Source organism: Homo sapiens, chromosome 22 (genome assembly GCF_000001405.40).
Source record: "Homo sapiens chromosome 22, GRCh38.p14 Primary Assembly".
In the NCBI taxonomy this organism is placed as follows: Eukaryota; Metazoa; Chordata; class Mammalia; order Primates; family Hominidae; genus Homo; species Homo sapiens.
In genome coordinates, this window is record NC_000022.11 from 36,892,676 (window position 1) to 36,912,891 (window position 20,216).

Below are 20,216 nucleotides of genomic sequence, written 5' to 3' on the forward strand. Positions count from 1 at the left end.
GAATGGGACAAAGGACAGGGAGGACAGGTTCAGCTGAGCATGGGAGTGGGGGTGGAGAGCAGGGAGTTCATGCTGAAAAAGAAAGGCAGACAACCACTCACTTAGAGGCTGTTAGGAAGATGCTGAAAGAAAGCAGGGGAGGCCATGAGGCCCTGGAGGTAAAAACATGGTTTCTGGCTCTGCTACCTCCTTGCTGGATAACTTGGGTAAGAGACTGTCTTCCCATCTGTAAAATGGTCTAATAATAATGGCAGCACTCCTCGTAATAGCTCTCAACAAATGTAAACAACCCAAACACCTGTCCAGAGAACAGTAGGTTTATACAGTGATTATAGCACAATGATGACACGGATGATTCTTAGAAACATGATTGAATGAAAAAGTCAAGTATCAGGAGATAAGATTCCTTATCTTCATACCTCCCTTCGTTGCATGGTTTTTGCGACAATAGGAAATATATTTTGTACATTGCCTGCCACACAGCACCCATCAATAACACAGACTTAAAAAAATAAGACCACCTAAAAAGAAGCTTTACCAAGAAACTAAGCAATTTGAAATGGCGACTATGGCATAGTAAAGGCCAGCTGGAATCTGGAGGAAACATGGAGACCTCCAGCATACTCTCCTGTTCCCGCCATGCCACTATAACAATTTCTTCAAGGAATAAAACTGTCCCTAGAAACAGTAAACCATCCAGCAACTGTGTATGAGACATGCTTATGGCTGTTAAATAGACTTTCACAAGCTGCATTCTCTTCCTGCAGTGCTATGAGAAGTCATCATCAAGTTTCCTGCAGAGCAGGATGGACTTGTTCACACATTTGACATTTCAATAATGTACACTTCGGCCCAAATAACTCAAGTTGGGATGGTTGGTGATTTGGGCCTAGGGATTGTGCCCCTCCTGCTTGAAAAGCGGAACCCTTGAGCAGCAACATTAACTCTTGCTGATTCTAACATTTTACAACTTTCAAAACTGGGTAATTAGAATCTTAGAGTGCCCATGACTGAATCATAGAACCTCTAAAGATCAGTGTGTGTGTGTGTGTGTGTGTGTGTTGTGTGTGTGTGTGTGTCTGTGTGTTGGAAGAAGGGGTTGGGTCAAAGAATACCAAAGCAACAAAAGTACTATGGGATGAATGAGTTCAAAGTCTTGCAAAAGGGACAAGATGTTTCTGAAGCCTGAAGTACAGAGACCCAGAGATGGCTCACCAGTGATGCTACATGCCTGTTTGATTAAACTTTTTTTTACATGTATTGGCCCTTTGCATTTCTTCCTTTATGAACTATTGTTAATTAGTATGTTCATATTTTTCTTACTTAGTTATAATATCTCTTGCTATTCAGGATACCAACTCTGTATTTTGCATACGTTTTTGCAAACTTTTGCCCTCAGATTGTCATTTTTTGTCTGTTTTATGAGGTGGTTGGCCTATCTTTGCATTGCATGACTATACAGTTTAGCTCTTGGAGTGAGGGCCTGTCTTCTAAATTCTGGGAGGATGTCACTCAATGGCTGTCAAAGTGCTCATAAACAGAGAAAACTAGGGAATTCCCTGATAAATGTGGCCACAAGAATTCATCTTTTTATTAGATAACCCAGTCCCTTCCCAACTCACTCTCAGCCCATTTCCTTATTTTACGCCCATATAAAAAAAACCTGCCAATGCCAGTTATTAAGCTATTATCTCTCAGCTCCAAACTCATCCCTCTGTACTTTGTTGTGATACTGGATTTGGGACTTCCCAACCACAGTGATGTCAGCTGGTTCCTGGTACCCTCTGCCAACTTGGGTGCTAGAGGGAAGCTGTGAGCTGTGAGGTTGGAGGAAGAGAGGACTTGCACCTTCCTGCCTACTTGCTGCTCCAGTGAGCCTCACTGTAGGAATACTTCTTCACCCTTCACCCTAGCAGCAGCAATTATTTCCTGTGGCAGCATTTAAATCCATTTTGCAGCTTCTCCAGCCCTGGCAGAACCAGTTTTGATGAGAAACTCCCCTTTTCCCCTGGCCCCCACACAAGACACCAGCACCAGCTGATACTGTGTGGGTGTTTGTCCCCTCCAAATCTCATGTGGAAATGTGATTCCCAGTGTTGGAGGTGGGGCCTGGTGGGAAGTGAGTGGATCGTGGGGCCAGATCCCTCATGAGTGGCCTAGCACCAACTCCTTGGTGATAAGTGAGTTCTTATTCAGTTCACACGAGAGCAGGTTGTTTAAGAGTCTGGGACCTCTCCCTTCTCTCTCTTTCTCTCACTCCTTCTCTCCCCATGTAATGGGTCTGCTTCTACTTTGCCTTCTGCCATGAGCAAAAGCTCCCTGAGGCCTTCCCAGAAGCTGAGCAGATTCTGGCACTACATTTCCTGTGCAGCCTGCAGAACCATGAGCCAATTAAACCTCTTTTCTTCATAAATTACCCAGTTTAAGGTATTTCTTTATAGAAACACAAGAATGGACTAACACAAAAAATTGGTACCAAAGAGTAGGGCATTGCTATAAAGATATCTGAAGATGTGGAAGTGGTTTTAGAAATGGGTAACGGGCAGAGGGTGAAAGAATCTGGAGGGCTCAGAGGAAGACAGGAATATGAGGGAAAGTTTGGAATTTCTTAGAGACTGGTTAAATGTTTGTGACCAAAATGCTGATAGAGATATGAATAGTGAAGTCCATGCTGACAGAATTTTCAGACGAAAATGAGGACGTTCTTGAGAACTGGAGTAAAGATCACCCCTGTTTATCCCTAGCACAAAACTGAACTGCATTGATGCATGACCTAGGGATCTGCGGAAGTTTGAATTTAAGAGTGATGACCCAGGGTATCTAGCAGAAGAAATTTCTAAGTGGCAAAGCATTCAAGACAGGACCTGGCTGCTTCTAATAGTCTATGCTCAGATACAGGAGCAAAGAAATGACCTAAAGTTGGAATTATATTTAAAAGGGAAGCAGAGTGTAAAAGTTTGAAAAGTTTGTAACCTGGCTATGTGACAGAGAAAGAAATAGCATTTTCAGGAGAGTAATATGTTTAAAAGAGTCTTGTGGAGTAACCACTTGCTAAAGAGATTAGCGTGACTAAAAGGGAATCAGTGCTACTATCCAAGACAATGAGGAAAAGGTCTTGAAGGCACTGAAGGCCTTGAAGTCGTTTTCAAGATTTTCTTTGAAGGCAAATCTTCACAGCTGCTCCCATCACAGGCCCAAAGGCCTAGGAAGAACCAATGCTTTCAGGGGCCAGGCTGGGGTACCACTGCCTTGTGTAGTCTCAGGATGCTGTTCCCTGCATCCCTGCTGCTCTGGTTCCAGTCTCAGGTTAAAGAGCTCCAGATACAGTCAGGCTGCCACTCCAGTGGGTGTAAGCAGTGAGCCTCGGCAGTTTTCATGTGGTATTAAGCCTGCAGGTGCACAGAATGCAAGAATGAAGGAGGCTTGTCATCTCCCACCTAGTTTCCAGAGGATATATGGGAAAGCCTAGGTGTTCAGGCAGAAGCCTGCTGCAGGAGGGGAGCCCTCACAGGGAAACTCTACTAGGACAGTGCCAAGGGGAAATGTGGGGTTGGAACCCCCACACAGAGTCCCCACCAGGGCACTGCCTAGTGGAGCTGTGGAAAGGGAGCCACTGCCCTCTAGAATCAAGAATGGTAGAGTCAGCCAGGCGCGGTGGCTCACACCTGTAATCCCAGCACTTTGGGAGGCTGAGGCTGGCCAATCACGAGGTCAGGAGATGGAGACCATCCTAGCCAACATGGTGAAACCACATCTCTACTAAAAATACAAAAATTGGCTAGGTGTGGTGGCATGTGCCTGTAATCCCAGCCACTTGGGAGGCTGAGGAATGAGAATCGCTTGAACCCAGGAGGTGGAGGTTGCAGTGAGCCGAGATTGCACCACTGCACTCCAGCCTGGCAACAGAGTGAGACTCCATCTCAAAAAGAAAGAAAGAAGGAAAGAAAGAAAGAAGAAAGAAAGAAAGAGAGAGAGAGGAAGGAAGGAAGGAAGGAAGGAAGGAAGGAAGGAAGGAAGGAAGGAAGGAAGGAAGGAAGGAAGAAAGAGAGAAAGAAAGAAAGAAAGAGAAAGAAAGAAAGAAGGAAAGAAAGAAAGAAAGAAGGAAAGAGAAAGAAAGAAAGAAAAAGAAAGAAAGGAAGGAAGGGAAAGAATGGTAGAATCACTGGCAGCTTGCAACCTCAATGTAGAATAGCTGCAGGAACTCAACTCCAACCCATGAGAGCAGTCACAAGGCTGTACCCTTCAAAGCCACAGGAGTGGAGATGCCCAAGGCCTTGGGATGCAGGATATGCATCCCCTCACACCAGGATGCAGGGCATGGAGTCAAAGAGATTGTTTTGGACCTTTAAGATTTAGTGACTGCCCTGCCAGATTTCAAACTTGTTTGGGGCTGATTGCTCCTTTCTTTTGGCTGATTTCTCTTTTTTGGAATGGGAATATTTACCCAATGGCTGTACCACCATTGTATCTTAGGAGTAAATAACTTGTTTTTAATCTCACAGGCTTATAGGCAGAAGGACCTCATCTCCAGATGAGACTTTGGACTTGGGATTTGGAGCTTGGGACTTTTGAGTTAAGGATGGAATGAGTTAAGACTTTGGGGGACTATTGCAAAAGTATGATTGTATTTTAAAATGCAAGACGGACACGAGAATTGGGGTGCCAGGAGAGGAATGATAGAGCTTGAATGTTTATCTCCTTCAACTCTCATGTTGAAATGTGATTCCCAGTGTTGAAGGTGGGGCCTAATGGAAAGCATTTGATCACGGGGGGGTGGGGGAACCCTCATGGTTTAGCACCATCCCCATGGTGATGAGTGAGTTCTCACTCAGTTAGTTCAACAACCACATGAGATCTGGTTGTTTAAAAGAGTCTAGGACCTCGTGTAGAAAAGCTGCAGGAACTCAACTCCAACCCAAGAGAGCAGCCACAGGGCTGCACCCTTCAAACCTACAAGAGTGGAGCTGCCCAAGGCCTTGGGATGCAGGGCATGCATCCCCTAACACCAGGATGCAGGGCAAGGAGTCAAAGAGATTGTTTTGGAGCTTTAAGATTTAGTGACTGCCCTATCGGGTTTCAAACTTGTTTGGGGCTGATTGCTCCCTCTCTTGCCATGTGACATGCCTGCTCCCGCTTTGCCTTCCTCCATGAGTAAAAGCTCCCTGAGGCTCCTCAGAAGCTAAGTGGACGTGGCACCATGCCTCCTATGCAGCCTGCAGAACCATGAGCAAATTAAACCTCTTTTCTTTATAAATTACCTAGTTTCAGGTATTTCTTTATAGCAGCACAAGAACAGACTGACACACACACCAGTAGAACAGTGACCCCTTCTCAGAGATCGCAGGTTCATCTTCCTCCTCTTGGTTTCTCAGTTTTTATAATTTTAACCTCTTCCCTTTTGCAAGGGGTGAAAGCTGCTTCCTGCAGTTGTTACCACCATGATACCTTACAGTTCTCTCTTTCTTTCTGGCTCACTCTCTTAATCTTTTAGTTACCTAGTTAACAACTCTATACTTAATTAACAAATCATGTTAAGTTCTCTCTGGTCAGATAATTGGTGTGATTTCTGTCTATGGACTGGACCCTGACTGATACAATAAATATAAATTGATCATATTTATTACAGTCATTTTCTGGGACTTAGAAGTTCTGTATTTCAGACCTCGTTTTACCACTATTATATAAAGTAATCAAGGAAACAGTCCCCTGGACTGCCCTCTCTCTAACTCTATTCCCATCCTCTTGGGTTACAAAGTTCTACCTGCTAGAATGCTCTTATTTCCAGGAAATAATAACAGCATTTTTTTCATTTATATATGCTATTTATAATAGCATTTTCAGAGTTTATGTGTCACATAGATCCTTATTTGGATTTTCTTATTTAATCCTCATAACAATACCATGAAGTAAATACTATTGTTAGTATTATCCCCATTTCATGGCCAAAGACATTAATACCCAAAGAGATGAAAAGACTTGCCCAGGAACACACAGCCATAGGTGGCAGGGCCAGAAATCAGCTCCAAGTAGGCTAACCCCAGGGCCGGTGTTCTTCACCTATTGGTTGCTGCTGGTGTGGAAAGAAACTAGCTCTGAATTCCAGCTCTGCCACTAATGAGGTGAATGACCAAGAGGTCGAGGTATTGGCTGGATGGCTCTTGGGAGATGGCAACCTGAGGAAGTGGAGGGAGGGAGACCAAGAGCTGGGTGCTGACGTCATCAGGATAGGTGGGCGCTGACCAGATCATTGGTAGATGCCAGCAACACAGAATGAGCTGCAAATGAGCTGGGGTTTCTAGAAGGCAGGAATGAAGGAGAAAATCAGCCTCCAATGGAGAGAACTGCAAGGAAGCAGTGTGCTCAGGGAGGACAGGTTTGAGTTGGCACAAGAGGGTGGCATGAGTGTCCTAGGGCTGCCAGAACAAAGTACCACATGGATGGCTTCGTCCTGGAGGCTGGAAGTCTGAGACCAAGGTGGCTCCAGAATGGTTCCTTCCAAGGGCTATGAGGGAAGGACCTGTTCCAGGTCCCTCTTCTTGCTTGCACAAAGCGTGTTCATGTTGACATGGTGCTCTCTCTGAATGTGCGTCTGTCTCAAAATTTCTCCTTTCTACAAGGACACCAGCCATATTGGATTTGGGATCATTCTAATGACCCCATTTCAGTTTGATTATCTCTGTAAAGACCCTGTCTTCAAATCAGGTCATATTCTGAGGTATTGGGGTTAGGACTTCAACATATGGATTTTTAGGTAACACAATTCAACCCCTAACAGGAATGAAGAGAACAGTCAGAGAAAAAGAGCAGGGGATTTTGCTAGACCATGAGTTCCCACAGGTACAGGGAAGAGCTTGGAAAGGCTGAGAGATCAGACAGTAGATGCTATTAAGAGGACTTACATATGGAGGACTTGGGGATGAAGTTGGGTCTTAAGGGATGTCCTGGGAGCCTGGGTTTCTGGCAGTGACTAGGGAGAGCTAGAAAGTTGATGTGCTGTGCCTGACCACGATGGTCACCTTGGGGAAGGTGGTGACCAGTTCCAGCTGGCCTGGGGCCACCAGACAGCTGGCCTTTCTTCCACTCTTGGTAATTTGGTGCCAAGTGGGCAGTAAAGGCCTCCTCAGGGCCCACTCCCTTAGGCAGCATTGAGAGTGGGGGTTCATCCTCATGGAAATAAAGGGACAGGAGCTCTCCTCCAGGGCCATGAAAGCACAGTTCTGCACACAGTAAGGGCATGGGACACAGTTCTGGAACCTTTCTGACTCCCCTCAATCAATCAGATTTTCTACCTCTGTCAAGTTTCCTCTTGTAGTTAGCAAGAAAACAAAGATCCTAAGAACGTGGAAGGCCCTCCTGGCTGGTGTGAGGCGCCCTGATGCAGGGGAGCAGGAACCCTTGAGGCTGCAGGGGCAGGGCCCTTGAGAAGAGGCAGGCAATGTGGGGAATTTTTGGCACCCATAGGAGGGCCAGCTGCACTGTAGGCTGCCCCATGGGCTGGGCTGGATGGAAGGAGCGGTTGAGGGTCAAGTCCCTGGGGCAGCTCCCAGATGAGAGGGACCTTGATGGCCCTGGATCCAGGGTTGACAATCCCACACCGTCTGAATCCAGTCAGCTCTCCTCATCTGCCACCCCACCAAACCTCAACTCCTCCCTGCCCTGCCAAATAAGTCTATCTGGTGTGAGTGGCCCTATGTGTCCAGTTAGCTCCCCACCCCCATGCCAGTCACCCCGGGACACATACTTACCACTTCCTCTGTCATACTATCAAACTATCACTAAGGAAACTATCAACTTGAAGGAATCAAGTGATGCAACAAACAGTCTGGATAAAACCATAGTCTAGAGAGAAGCAGGGTCTCAGGGTGACCACAGGGGACATGTGTTTGAAAGTAGGGACAGAGTCTGAACAATCCATGTATCCTGGACAGGTCCCTGCCAGTGGCAGTGAGGTGGGGATCCCCAGGACAGGAACAGGCATCATGTGCGTCCCTCCCATTTCTCTGCCAGCTCCCAGGGCTGTACAGGGCCCCAGCCCAGCCTGCCCTCTCTGGGCCCAGTACACTACACTCACGTCTCCTGGCTCTTCCACTGGCACCACTGCCCTTAGAGTGTCCTCGTTCAGATGCAACTTTGTGCCCAAGCCACACTCACAGGGTCTGTCTGTCCAGGTCCCTCCCGGGATGCCTCCCACAGAGCCCTGCATTCTCACCTAGGGCAGAGCCTCCAACCCCACAGAAAGAACAGCGTTCTCAGGGAAAACCTGCCTGGTTCCTGCCCCCTGGTGCTCCTGACCCCCAGACTGGCTCAGATCTATCCCCTGGGACCTGCCCTGACCTGACTCAAGAGGGACTTGCAGGAGGAAACTTGCTGTTTCCCAGTGCTCTGTAATTCTCGTAATTCTCCGTTCTCATTCTGGTGCCAGCTTTGTTTCCGACAGCAGGGGCCCACTTAACATCTGACAGCTGAATTCCTACATTCCTTCCCATGGCCTAGAAAGCTCAAGGTGGAGACTGCCTTGCCCTTCCCAATCCCTGTTCCCCTCCTACCTTTGCACCTGGGGCCCAGCTCCCTGTTGACAGCCAGCCCCTCAGAACAACCCTGCTTTTCCCATCACTGTAATCAGCCTGCGGGGGGGACACCCCTCTCTTTGGGCAGCTTCTACCTGCCAACAGTAATGGCCTGAAGTCCCTCAGCCCTGAAGCCTCCTACCTGGAGATCTTGAGAAAGAGCCCCATCTCTAAGAAGGGAGCATTGTTTCTTATGAAGGGGTTTTCCTGCAACTTCTCACTCGAGAGCAGTTGCTGTATCTGCCTCTGCGGTAGATCAGACGCTGATGGCTCTTATCTTCCTCATGACTCCAAACCACACAGTTCGGTTCCTGGTATCTGCTTTACCACCTTGGCCTGCCCCTGAAAACCAGAACATGGTGTCGGGAAGCAGAGGTTTGGGCTCCCTGCTTTCGGCTCAGGTTGCTCCTGCTGGTGAGATGTGTGTTGGGCACTTTTCTGGCTTTGGAAGAGCTAAAGGTTCAGGACAAAGTCACTGAGATGGTGCAGGGATGACAGAGAGGTGAAGCAGACAAAGAAGGCCTTCACGAAGGGGAACAGAATACACAGCATATTAGCGAGTACAGCAGAGTGCTGTCAGCTGCAAGCAACTGAAAAACCACTGAAAGTAGCCAAGGAACAGGGGGTTTGTCATTGCTCAGACACAGAGTCTGGAGACACAATAGTACCATGCAGGGACGTGTAGGGTCTCAACCTCATCAAGAACCCAGGTGCTTCCCCTCTTTGCGCTCTGACAGTTCAGAATTGGAGTGATGATGGCCGAGGGGACTCCAGGTATCACATGCAAAGGGCGATGCCCAGAGGTAGAAACAACATCTTCCTTTGTCTCATTGGCCAGGTTGAGATCACATGATCCTTCGTAAGCCAATCACAGGAAAGAAGAAAATTACTGTGAGTAGCTTCAACTAATCAAGTTCCACCTTCTTGGGACAGGGGACAGGAAGGTATTTTATATCCAAGATCTGATTTTTCCAAGTTCTTTGGTTCTTGAAGGTTTATATCCTTGTATTTTATATCCAAGATTTGATTTTTTCCAAGATCTTTGTTCCTTGGAGGTCTATATCTATTGTTGGTTGTTTCTGCTGACTCTCGCCCATGGTGGCTTGTTTCCTTGGGAGTCTGGTGATTGTTAATATGGGTTCCTACATGGGAACATGTGGCTATGTGGAAAGTCAGTGTGGTTCAATGAAAAGAAATGGTGTTTTCTACGATCAACCAGAACCTTGTGCCTGAGTGACATCTGGGATCCAGCTGCTTCATTGCTCCTCCATTGACTGGCCAAATTGGTATTTGTACTAAGTCACGTGGTTGCACGTCCATATTGTCATGTCTGTTCCCCGTTAGCTCAGCCACCTGGAGGGGAATATGGGAAGCAGGAGCCAGGGGCAGGCAGACGAACTTGTTCTCTCTCCTACGCCCTGCCTTCTACCCTCCACTGCCTTCTACCAGCTCTGCCAGGAACCCCACCCCTTCCCAGTTCCTGAGATTTCATTATATAGAGGAAGTCAGTGGCAGGAGGGCAAGATCTTTGCCTTTCATAAACAGAAAGGAGACTGTTGATGTATCCAGGGGCTACAGTGAGAAACAGAGATGTGAGTTTCAGAGTGAGTGTGTGGATGAAATTCTCTATGGGAGACACAGCTTGAGATGAGCCGAGAGCATGTATGGGGTCTTGGAAACACCACCACTTGAGGGATGGGCAAAGAAAGGAAATGACAACAGAGAGTGCCAAAGATCCAACAGAATGAGTTTGTCCAACCCTTGGCCTGTGGGCCACCTGCAGCACAGGATGACTTTAAATGCAGCCCTACACAAATTCATAAAAACATTATGAGTTTTTTTGCGATTTTTTTTTTTGTTCATTGGCTATCGTTAGTGTTAGTGTATTTTATGTGTGGCCCAAGACAATTCTTCTTTTTCCAATGTGGCCCAGGGAAGCCAAAAGATTGGACACCCCTGCACTAGAGAAAGGGAAGAAAACAGGCAAGTGTTGTGTCCTGGAGGCCAAGGCACAAACAGGTGTCCAGAAGTGAAGGCTCCACAATGCCAAATTCTGCTGCAACAGAATAGGAGGTAGCTCTAGAACTGGGCAAAAGGAAGGTCCCTGTGGACAAAGCAGCGTTTGCGGAGCAGGTTTCACTGGGTTGGGGAATAAGTGAGAGGAAAGAAATGCTGACAGTGAGTGCAGCTGGGCCCTTTAGGAACGCTGAGTACATCCTCTGCCTGAGCAGGTGTACCCTGACAATCCCAGTTAATGTTGGAATCTGCCCTCCCATCACCCATCTAGTCCCCTAATGGCTCCACTTCTTTGTTCCATTGCACTGACACTCACCTTCCAAAGTGTCATTTGCCTTGTATTCTTTACTAATGTAGTATGTTCATTGTGGATTGTGTATCTCCCCTGCAAGACTATAACAGTCTCAAAGGCCTCATTTTTTCTGGTCACCACTATGTCCTAAGTGCCCAGAGCAAGGGCTTGGCTCCCAGTAGGTGTTTAGAAGGGTTAGTAGAATGAAGTGAATGACAGAATGGGGAGAAGGACGGGGTTTGGGAAGGAGCCTGGGGCCAAAAAAAAAAAAAAGGTTTCTGCTTTTAGAGCTGGGTGCAGCCTGATTATTTACGGCTGAGGGAAAAACAACTTGGTTTGAAAACATAGAAGAGAGAAACGGGAATTCGTGACGCAAGGTCTTAGGAGAGATGAGTTTCAGAGCAGGCTTGGGGAAAATGACCTGGTTCAAGGAAGCTGGGAAGGGTGAAGCTACGTACGGCTGGAAGGTAGGTTTCTGGAGTGTCTTAAATAACTCTAAGGGCTTAGAGTCAAGGCCCTGGGTATTGGGAATTCCCTGGGTGATGGGTTTGTTTGTTTGTTTGTTTGTTTTTTGAGACAGAGTCTCACTCTGTTGCCCAAGTTGGAGTGCAGTGGTGCGATCTCGGTTCACTGCCACCTCCACCTCCCGGGTTCAAACGATTCTCCTGCCTCAGCCTCCGGAATATCTGGGATTACAAAGGTGTGCAGCACCAAGCCCAGCTAATTTTGTATTTTTAGTAAAGAGGGGGTTTCACCATGATGGCCAGGCTGGTCTCGACCTCCTGACCTCAAGTGGGGTTTTTTGAGCAAGGGAGCAACACATCACTCTGGTGACCATTCAGGGTCATTGTGCCGTACAACTCAGGAGAAACCATTTACAATCCCATAGAACACAATGGGAATGGCGCCCCCTGGAGTTGTGCAAACATGGCAGCCCTGTGAGGAAGGGCAGGAGCTAAGAGGGGTATGAGGCAGGACCTTCTGGTGGGAAGCTCTTGGAGATTTAATTAAGGTCTGACTAGGGGGTTGCAGGAGGGACAGCAAAATGATCACAAATGCAGTCTGACAGCAGGTGGGATGGTAAGAGGGCACGAGGGCCTGAGTGTAACTTGTTTATGGAAGGACCTTCAGGACCGGGGCTGGCTGCACTAGGGAGATAATAAATTGAGGTTTTGGTAGTTGCCGTTGCTCAAGAACAAAGAAGGAACTCCACTTAGATATGGTAACATTGAAAAAAATATATATGATGGTAGATAAATTCCCAGGTAAGACCCATAGAGGGAATTTAGAACTTACCCCAAAAAGCACTATTGGAAAAATCTGGAACTTTTGAGATTGATGTAGGGAGGCCACACATGTCCTACTGAAATCACCTTTTAGTGTCTTTCCTACTTGATCTAATCGCCTCCTGTCTGCTCCCTTCAATTCAACTATATCCTAGTCCATTCAATAAACATTAATTGAGCATCTACAATTCCTCAACATTAGAGATCAAAAATAAACGATATAATCCCTGCTCCTGATTGGCTGTCAGGCTAGTGAGAGAGACAGAAGCATAAGCAGCTACAACAGAACATGGAAGATGCTCAACTAGGGTTTCTGCAGAGGAACAGGGGAGGGCAGAGGCAGGATCTCACCAAGTTTCCTGTGCATGTGGGGCAATGTTGAGCCTCCCTTGGTCATCTTTATTCCCAAAGTCCCAGAAGCTGGAGCACAGGGCGAAGAAAGAGTAGAAAGCTTGGACCCCACATTTGCTCCTGGATTCCTCACTGAGGCCATAAGAGGTAGCGCTGGCCTCAGCTCAGCCCCTGAGTGGCTGTGACCTTGGGATGCCACTTGCTACCTGTGAGCCTGGAAGTGGGTCTTGGGCCAGTCCTACTGGAGGTTCCCTTGACTGCATGGTGTTCTCACAGTTACACAGTTAGCCAGGTCAGACAGTAGATCTCAAGGAGGGCAAAAGCCGCCACCTCCAAGAAGGCTGCCAGATACACCTTTTGCTCTGCCTGACAAGAACCTCCACAGATTCCAAGGTCCAGCTCTAGGGGTGCCTCCTCTGTGGATCCTCCTCTGACCCCCTCAGAGATAAGTCTCTGGCTTCCACGTGCTTCTGCTCTGAGTGGGGGGTTCTCCTTCTGCTGCATAGGACAGAGAGGACATCCAACTCAGAGTAGAAGCATGCCCTCTCTAAGTTGTAAATTCGATGATGTCATCTCCATATTTCATTGCCTGGCATATAGTAGGTGTTCAGTGCTCTTTGAAAGGATGAATACATTAACAAATGTCAAAATCTTTTTTTTTTTTTTTTTTTGAGACGGAGTCTTGCTCTGTTGCCCAGGCTGGAGTGCAGTGGTGCGATCTTGGCTCACTGCAAGCTCTGACTCCCGGGTTCATGCCATTCTCCTGCCTCAGCCTCCGGAGTAGTTGGGACTACAGTCGCCTGCCACCATGCCCGGCTAATTTTTTTTTGTATTTTTTTTAGTAGAGATGGGGTTTCACCGTGTTAGCCAGGATGGTCTCGATCTCCTGACCTCGTGATCCGCCCACCTTGGCCTCCCAAAGTGTTGGGATTACAGGCGTGAGCCACCACACCCGGCCACAAATGTCAAAATCTCATATCCTTCACAGTGCCCATGTCACTGCCCCTAGAAGTCTTCCCATGCCTCCCTTACTGAGTCATCTCTCTTTTCCCCATACTCCAATAGGATGCTGTTTGAATGCCTACGCTAGAACAGGGCTGGCAAACTTTTTCTGTAAGGGACCAGATAGTAAATATGGCCTTGCCAGACGTAAAGTATCTGCTTTAATGACTTCACTTTGTCACTGCAGCACAAAAACATTGTGCAGCCACAGAGAACAAAAATGAATGAGTGTAGCTGTGTTCCAATAAAACTTTATGGGCCGGGTGCGATAGCTCATGCCTGTAACCCAAGCACTTTGGGAGGCCAAGGCGGGCAGATCACTTGCAGTCAGGAGTTCAAGACCAGCCTGGTCAACATGGTGAAACCCCATCTCTACTAAAAATACAAAAATTAGCTGGGCATGGTGGCAGGTGCCTGCAATCCCAGCTACTCGGGAGGCTGAGGCACGAGAATCGCTTGAACCCAAAAGGCAGAGGTTGCAGTGAGCCAAGATCGCACCATTGCAATCCGGCTTGGGGGACAAGAGCAAAACTCTGTCTCAAAAACAAAAAACAAACAAAAAAAAAGTGCACTAACCTGACCCGGTGGTGCCAGGCTTCTCACTAGGCAGTCGGTCTGGCACCAGAATCCGGACTTCTCAGCTACACACTCTGTGCAGGCTCTGGAAGTCTGGCGAGGCCAGGTTTTGCCTGTCCAGCCTGGGCTCTCTCTGGCCCTTCTAGCAGCATCAACAGTGACTTCGGGAGGCTGAGGCATGAGAATCACTTAAACCCCGGAGGCGGAGGTTGCAGTGAGCTGAGATCATGCCATTGCACTCCAGCCAGGGTGACAGAGCGAGACTGTCTCAAAAAAAAAAAAAAAACTATTTATGGACACTGATATTTGAATTTCATGTAATTTCCACATCACAAAATATTATTCTTATTTTGCTATTTTTAAAAACATTAAAAATTAAAAAAGAAAACATTTTTAGCTCATGGGCTGAGCTAAAAGAGGCTGCAGTCTATGTTTGGTGTGTAGACCAGAGTGCACCAACACCTGCTTGAGAGCTTACTAAGATCGGCTTGCTAATAGGCTTATTTTGGTCTCGCCTATTAGCCTATAAAAAGAAGAGTTAGGAACACAGCCTTTGGATGCAGATGGGTCTGTATTAATATTCTGATCCCAGACTCCCTCTCTCTTTTTCTTCCTTTTCGGTCAAAGTCACTGGGCAGGTCTGCTAAGGGCCAGAAGGCAGTCCAAGGGCAGCCAGGACTCAAACAAGGAGGGTGTGTCAATTTCCTAGGGCTGTCATAACAGAAACTGGGTGGCTAGAATAACAACCATGTCTTTTCTCACTGTTCTGGAGGCTAGAAGTCCAAAGTCAAGGTGCTGGCACCGCCATACTCTCTGATGTCTCCAGGGAGAATGCTTCCTGCCTTCTTCCAGCTTCTGGTGGCTGCTGGCAATCCCTGGTGATCCTTAACTTGTGGGATCCCTCCAGTCACATGACTTTCTTCTTCCTGTGTGTCTTCAGTTGTTTTATCTCTAGGGCTGTCTGTCTCCGTGTCCACACTTTCCCCATTTTATAAGGACATCGGTCATATTGGATTATGGCCCACCCATAAGACCTCATTTTAGCTTGATTACTTCTGTAAAGACCCTATTTCCAAATAAGGTCATATTCTGACATACTGGGGATTAGAACTTCTGCATATCTTTTTGGGAGACACAAGCCAACCTCATAACAGAGGGTGTCAGTACAGGGCAGGACCCAACCCAGCATGGAAGTGGGCTATATTCAGTGGGGCAGGAGGAGGGGAGAAGCTATGTAAATACACTGACAACAATAGTGTAGTTTCACACAGATAAGAAGGGAGGTACAGATATAGACAGAGAGAAAGCTAGAAAGAACCCTGTGGTGTTGGATTGGAACTGGCAGTATAAGTGTGAACTCATGGTTTTCAAAATGATAGGTATAGAAATAAATACAGCTGGTCGGACGTGGTGGCTCAAGCCTGTAATCCCAGCACTTTGGGAGGCCGAGGCAGGTGGATCACTTGAAGTCAGGAGTTCAAGACCAGCCTGACCAACATGGTGAAACCCCGTCTCTACAAAAAAAAAAAAAAAAAAAATTAGCCGGGCGTGGTGGTGCATGCCTGTAATCCCAGCTACTTGGGAGGCTGAGGCAGGAGAATGGCTTGAACCTGGGAGGCAGAAGTTGCAATGAGCCGAGATCGTGCCATTGAACTCCAGCCTGGGCAACAAGAGCAATACTCCGTCTCAAAAAAAGAAAAAAAATATAGCTGTAAGTACAATATACGCATTTGTTCATTCATTCTCTGGCTCTGTCCAGTGAGAGACCTGAGGACAGTGACACTTGGGCAGCAGGGAGCAAGATCACCTTGTGTGTGTATCTTGGCTCTAAATACCATTCTCTACTATGAGGAACCCAAGCCCCTTGGAGAAAATTCCCAAGTCCGAGCCCAGGGCAAGGTAAATAGGAGAGGAGATGAGCATTTCATGCTGCCTGAAAGTCAGGGAGGTCTTAAAGAACGATGGGGATCATTGAAAAGGACACAGGAGCCCATTTGAAGGAGCTGTCACTGGCCAAAGTTGGCATGATTTGAGCATTAAAATAAATCATGGTAGGTACTGACTGTAAGCCATTTAATAAAATAGAAATCCGTGAGTCCACACTGATTATATAAGTTAACAAAGAACACAAGAAGGAAAACAAACTCTTCCTTAGGTAGAATGCCAACTATTAAATACAAAAGGAATGGTGACATTTTATTTATTTATTTATTTAACAATAGCAACTTTTATTTTAGACTCAGGGGGTGTACGTGCCCCTTTGTTATCTCATAATACTTTAGCATTTTAGAATAGTTTTTTCTAATTCTGTGAAAAATGATAATTCATATCCCAAACCACATGGTAAGTGTAGTACCCGGGTAGTTAGTTCTTCAATCCTTGCCTCTCTGCCTCACCCCTCTAAGTAGTTCCCTGTGTCTATTGTTGCCATCTTTATGCCCATTAGCACCCAATGTTTAGCTCCCACTTATAAGTGAAAATATACAGTATTTGGTTTTCTGTTCCTGCATTAATTTGCTTAGGATAATGGCTTCCAGCTGCATCTATGCTGCTGCAAAGGACATATTTCATTCTTTTTATGGCTGTGTAGTATTCCGTGGGTGTATATATACCGCATTTCCTTTATCCAGTCCACTGTTAACGGGCAACCAGGTTGATTCCATGTCTTTGCTATTGTGAATAGTGCCGCAATGAACATACGAGCACAGGTGTCTTTTTGGATATATACTCAGTAATGGGATTGCTGGGTCAAATGGTTGTTCTGCTTTAAGTTTTTTAAGAAATCTCCAAACTGCTTTCCACAATGGCTGAACTAATTTACATTCCTATCAATAGCATATAAGCATTTGCTTTTCTCTGCTGCCTCACCAGCGTCTATTGTTTTATGACTTTTTAATAATAGTCATTCCAACTGATGTGAGATAGCATCTCATTGTGGTTTTGATTTGCATCTCTCTGATGATTAGTGATATTGAGCATTTTTCATATCTGTTGGCTGCTTGTATGTCTTCTTTGGAGAAGTGTCTGTTCATTTCTTTTGCCCACTTTTTATTGGGGTTATTTTATTTTATTTTATTTTTTGCTTGCTGAATTGCCTAAGTTCTGTACAGATTCTGAATATTAGACCCTTGCTGCATGCAGTGTGCGAATATTTTCTCCCATTCTGTAGGTTGTCTGTTTACTCTGTTGATAGTGTCCTTTGCTGTGCAGAAGCTTTTTAGTTTACTTAGGACCCACTTGTCAATTTTTGTTTATATTGCAATTGCTTTTAAGAACTTAGTCATAAATTTTTCCCCAAGAATGATGTCTAGAGTGGTGCTTCCTAGGTTTTCTTCTAGGATTCTTATAATTTGAGGTCCTACATTTAAACTTTTAATCCATCTTGAGTTAATTTTTGTATATGGTGAAAGGTAAGGGTCCAGTTTCATTCTTTTGTGTATGGCTGGCCAGCTATCGTATCACCATTTATTGAATAGGGAGTGCTTCCCCCATTGCTTATTTCTGTCAGCTTTGTTGAAGATCAGATGGCTGCGGGTATTCAGCTTTATTTCTGTGTTCCATTGGTCTATGTGTCTGTTTTTATACCAGTGCTATGCTGCTTCGATTATTGTAGCCTTAGTATAGTTTTAATTTGTGTAATGTGATGCCTCAGGCTTTGTTCTTTTGGCTCAGGATTGTTTTGGCTATTCGAGCTTTTTTTTGGTTCCATATGAATTTTAGAATAGTTTTTTCTAATTCTGTGAAAAATGACAGTGGTAGTTTGACAGGAATAGCATTGAGTTTGTGGAATGCTTTGGGTGTATGGCCATTGTAATGATACTGATTCTTCCAATCCATGAGCATGGAATGTTTTTCCAATTGTTTGTGTCATCTATGATGTCTTTTACCAGTGCTTTGTGGTTCTCCTTGTAGAGATCTTTTATGACCTTGCTTAGCTGCATTCCTAAGTATTTTATTTGTGTGTGTGTGTGTGTGACTATTGCAAATGGGATTGCATTCTTGATTTGGCTCTCAGCTTGAACTTTATTGGTGCACAGAAATACTACTGATTTGTGCACATTGATTTTGTTTCCAACTTTATAGAAGTTGTTCATCAGTTCCCGGGGACTTTTGGTGGAGTCTTTAGGGTTTTCTAGGTATAAAATCATATCATCAAGGAAGAGAGAAAGTTTGACTTCTTCTTTTCCTATTTGGATGTCTTTTATTTCTTTCTCTTGTTAGATTGCTCTGGCTAGGACTTCTGAATGACAGAATTTTTAAAAGTCACCATTTGGCAATGATCATCATGATAATGTTTAATTAAATTAAGGAACATCATTGCATACTGAAATTATACAAGTGTGGGAGTGGGATGAGAAAGCTTAAAAGTATCTCCCTACCAAATGCTTATAAATTACGATGTGGAAGGGGAAGTAACTTTACAATAGAGAAACTTGATTGGTGTCAAGTTAATCAAATGATCAGAGCGAACGACATTAGTGATGGGACAGATTGACAATGAAAGCTAATAGGACTCACCAAGAATAATCCAGCATCACTTCTGTGCTATTTTGGCCAAAAAAGCATAACCCAGTTCTAATCATCAGACAGAGCCAAATCGAGGGACATTATTCAAAACAACCAACCTGCAGTCTTCGAGATGTCGAGGAAAAAACAAGGCATCTGTTTCAAACTGGAGGCCCGAAAGACATGGCAACTAAGAGCCATGCATTTAGAGAGAATGCAAAGTCCCGGATGGATTTTCTTGTTACAAAACCATTATTGAGAAGCTTAGCGAAACTCAAAGGGGGTTTCCACATGAAGGGTATGTGAGAGTTCTTTGTATCATTCCTTTAACGCTCTGTATTTTGAAATAGTTTCAGAATAAAAATGGAAATGGAAAAAAATGCAATGTTAACATATACGAGTTACTACTTTCAACAAGTTATCTTCCTTTTCATGCCTCAATTTCTTCATCTGTAAGGTGAAGACAGTAACAGCTACATAAAGGTTATTGGGAAGAGATGGAGAAGCCCCCAGCCGAAGGTCTGCTCACAGCGTAAATGCTCAAGCCCTGGTCATTATGAGTACTACGTTCTTGCCAACATTTTCTTGGGTTTCTTAGTCTCTAAAAGATCGTCAATTGCAAGACACGGTATTTTACATACCACTGAAGGAAAAAACAAACAAACAAACGAAAACATTCAATGAATTCCTGACGGTGTGATTCTTCTCGCTTAGAACTTTTAATACTTATTGAGAGAACTCTGTTAGACTCATTCAAATGTAGATTTTTATCCCCTGCTGCTCTATGATGACTTTTAAAAGGAAAGGGTCAGTCAAGTGAATTGGCTGAGGTGTTCCTAAAGCTCCTTCACATTTTGGGTCTGGTGTCCGGAGTGATTTTGACTCAGAGTCTCGGGTTCTTCGTTTCTCCACCAGACAGCATCCTCTGTGCTCCTGAGGGCATCCAGGCCCGCAGCCTCCCAGTCCCACAGAGGACCTCAGCAAAGACAGGCAGAGTGGGGACACCTGGGAGAAAAGAGAGCCCGGGACGTCACTTTAATTCCATCCTCTCCAGCCCTGGAGAAGCCCCTGCAGGGTTTTTCCATGCCAGGCAGGGACCTCACACTGACCGGAGTGCCTGAGAGAACCACACATGCCTTCCTCTACCCTGGGCTTTCTCTGCTAGGGTGAGGCCCTGCCAGCTCTTCCTGGCCAACCCTGCCCTTCCTGGTAGGAGGAAAGCAAAGAACAACAATCAGGCCAGAATTCCAGTGGCTTCGAGGCAGGTTCCTGCCCCTCCATTTCCTCCATTCCCCTCATTCTTGCCCTCCATTCCCCTCATTCCTGCCTGCTGCCCTTTCTCCTGGGAGGCAGCCCCATGTAGGAGAAATATGACTGCGTTTTGTTGTGTCTTGGCACTGTGATTCATCTTGTCTTTATTCAAACTTTTCATATTTGGTTCACCGTGAATAGTTTCTGCATCAGTTGGGATTTTTTTAAACCATATTGCATTAAAATATTACTTACAACAATTACTGAATTTTTAAATGCCTGTTTAAATTTTGAGCACGAGAGACTGCCTCACTCACCTGACCTTAATTCTGCTGGCCCTGCTGTGCTCAGGGAGCCACTCATTCATTC

At 45.7% G+C, this 20,216-nt stretch overlaps 7 annotated features.

The window, feature by feature from the left end:
• Window positions 2,847–3,400: an enhancer, noted in NCBI's record as "OCT4-NANOG hESC enhancer chr22:37291564-37292117 (GRCh37/hg19 assembly coordinates)". NCBI's record gives its function as "activates a minimal SCP1, AML or CMV promoter by ChIP-STARR-seq in naive H9 embryonic stem cells {active_cell/tissue: H9 hESC(naive)}" and the evidence as "EXISTENCE:reporter gene assay evidence [ECO:0000049][PMID:30033119]".
• Window positions 8,180–8,745: an enhancer, noted in NCBI's record as "OCT4-NANOG-H3K27ac-H3K4me1 hESC enhancer chr22:37296897-37297462 (GRCh37/hg19 assembly coordinates)". NCBI's record gives its function as "activates a minimal SCP1, AML or CMV promoter by ChIP-STARR-seq in naive and primed H9 embryonic stem cells {active_cell/tissue: H9 hESC(naive and primed)}" and the evidence as "EXISTENCE:reporter gene assay evidence [ECO:0000049][PMID:30033119]".
• Window positions 8,689–8,808: an enhancer, noted in NCBI's record as "active region_18940". NCBI's record gives its function as "activates an Ori minimal core promoter by ATAC-STARR-seq in GM12878 lymphoblastoid cells {active_cell/tissue: GM12878}" and the evidence as "EXISTENCE:reporter gene assay evidence [ECO:0000049][PMID:35858748]".
• Window positions 8,689–9,311: a biological region, named in NCBI's record as "H3K27ac hESC enhancer GRCh37_chr22:37297463-37298028".
• Window positions 8,746–9,311: an enhancer, noted in NCBI's record as "H3K27ac hESC enhancer chr22:37297463-37298028 (GRCh37/hg19 assembly coordinates)". NCBI's record gives its function as "activates a minimal SCP1, AML or CMV promoter by ChIP-STARR-seq in primed H9 embryonic stem cells {active_cell/tissue: H9 hESC(primed)}" and the evidence as "EXISTENCE:reporter gene assay evidence [ECO:0000049][PMID:30033119]".
• Window positions 8,829–8,948: an enhancer, noted in NCBI's record as "active region_18941". NCBI's record gives its function as "activates an Ori minimal core promoter by ATAC-STARR-seq in GM12878 lymphoblastoid cells {active_cell/tissue: GM12878}" and the evidence as "EXISTENCE:reporter gene assay evidence [ECO:0000049][PMID:35858748]".
• Window positions 18,786–19,487: an enhancer, noted in NCBI's record as "OCT4-NANOG-H3K27ac-H3K4me1 hESC enhancer chr22:37307503-37308204 (GRCh37/hg19 assembly coordinates)". NCBI's record gives its function as "activates a minimal SCP1, AML or CMV promoter by ChIP-STARR-seq in naive H9 embryonic stem cells {active_cell/tissue: H9 hESC(naive)}" and the evidence as "EXISTENCE:reporter gene assay evidence [ECO:0000049][PMID:30033119]".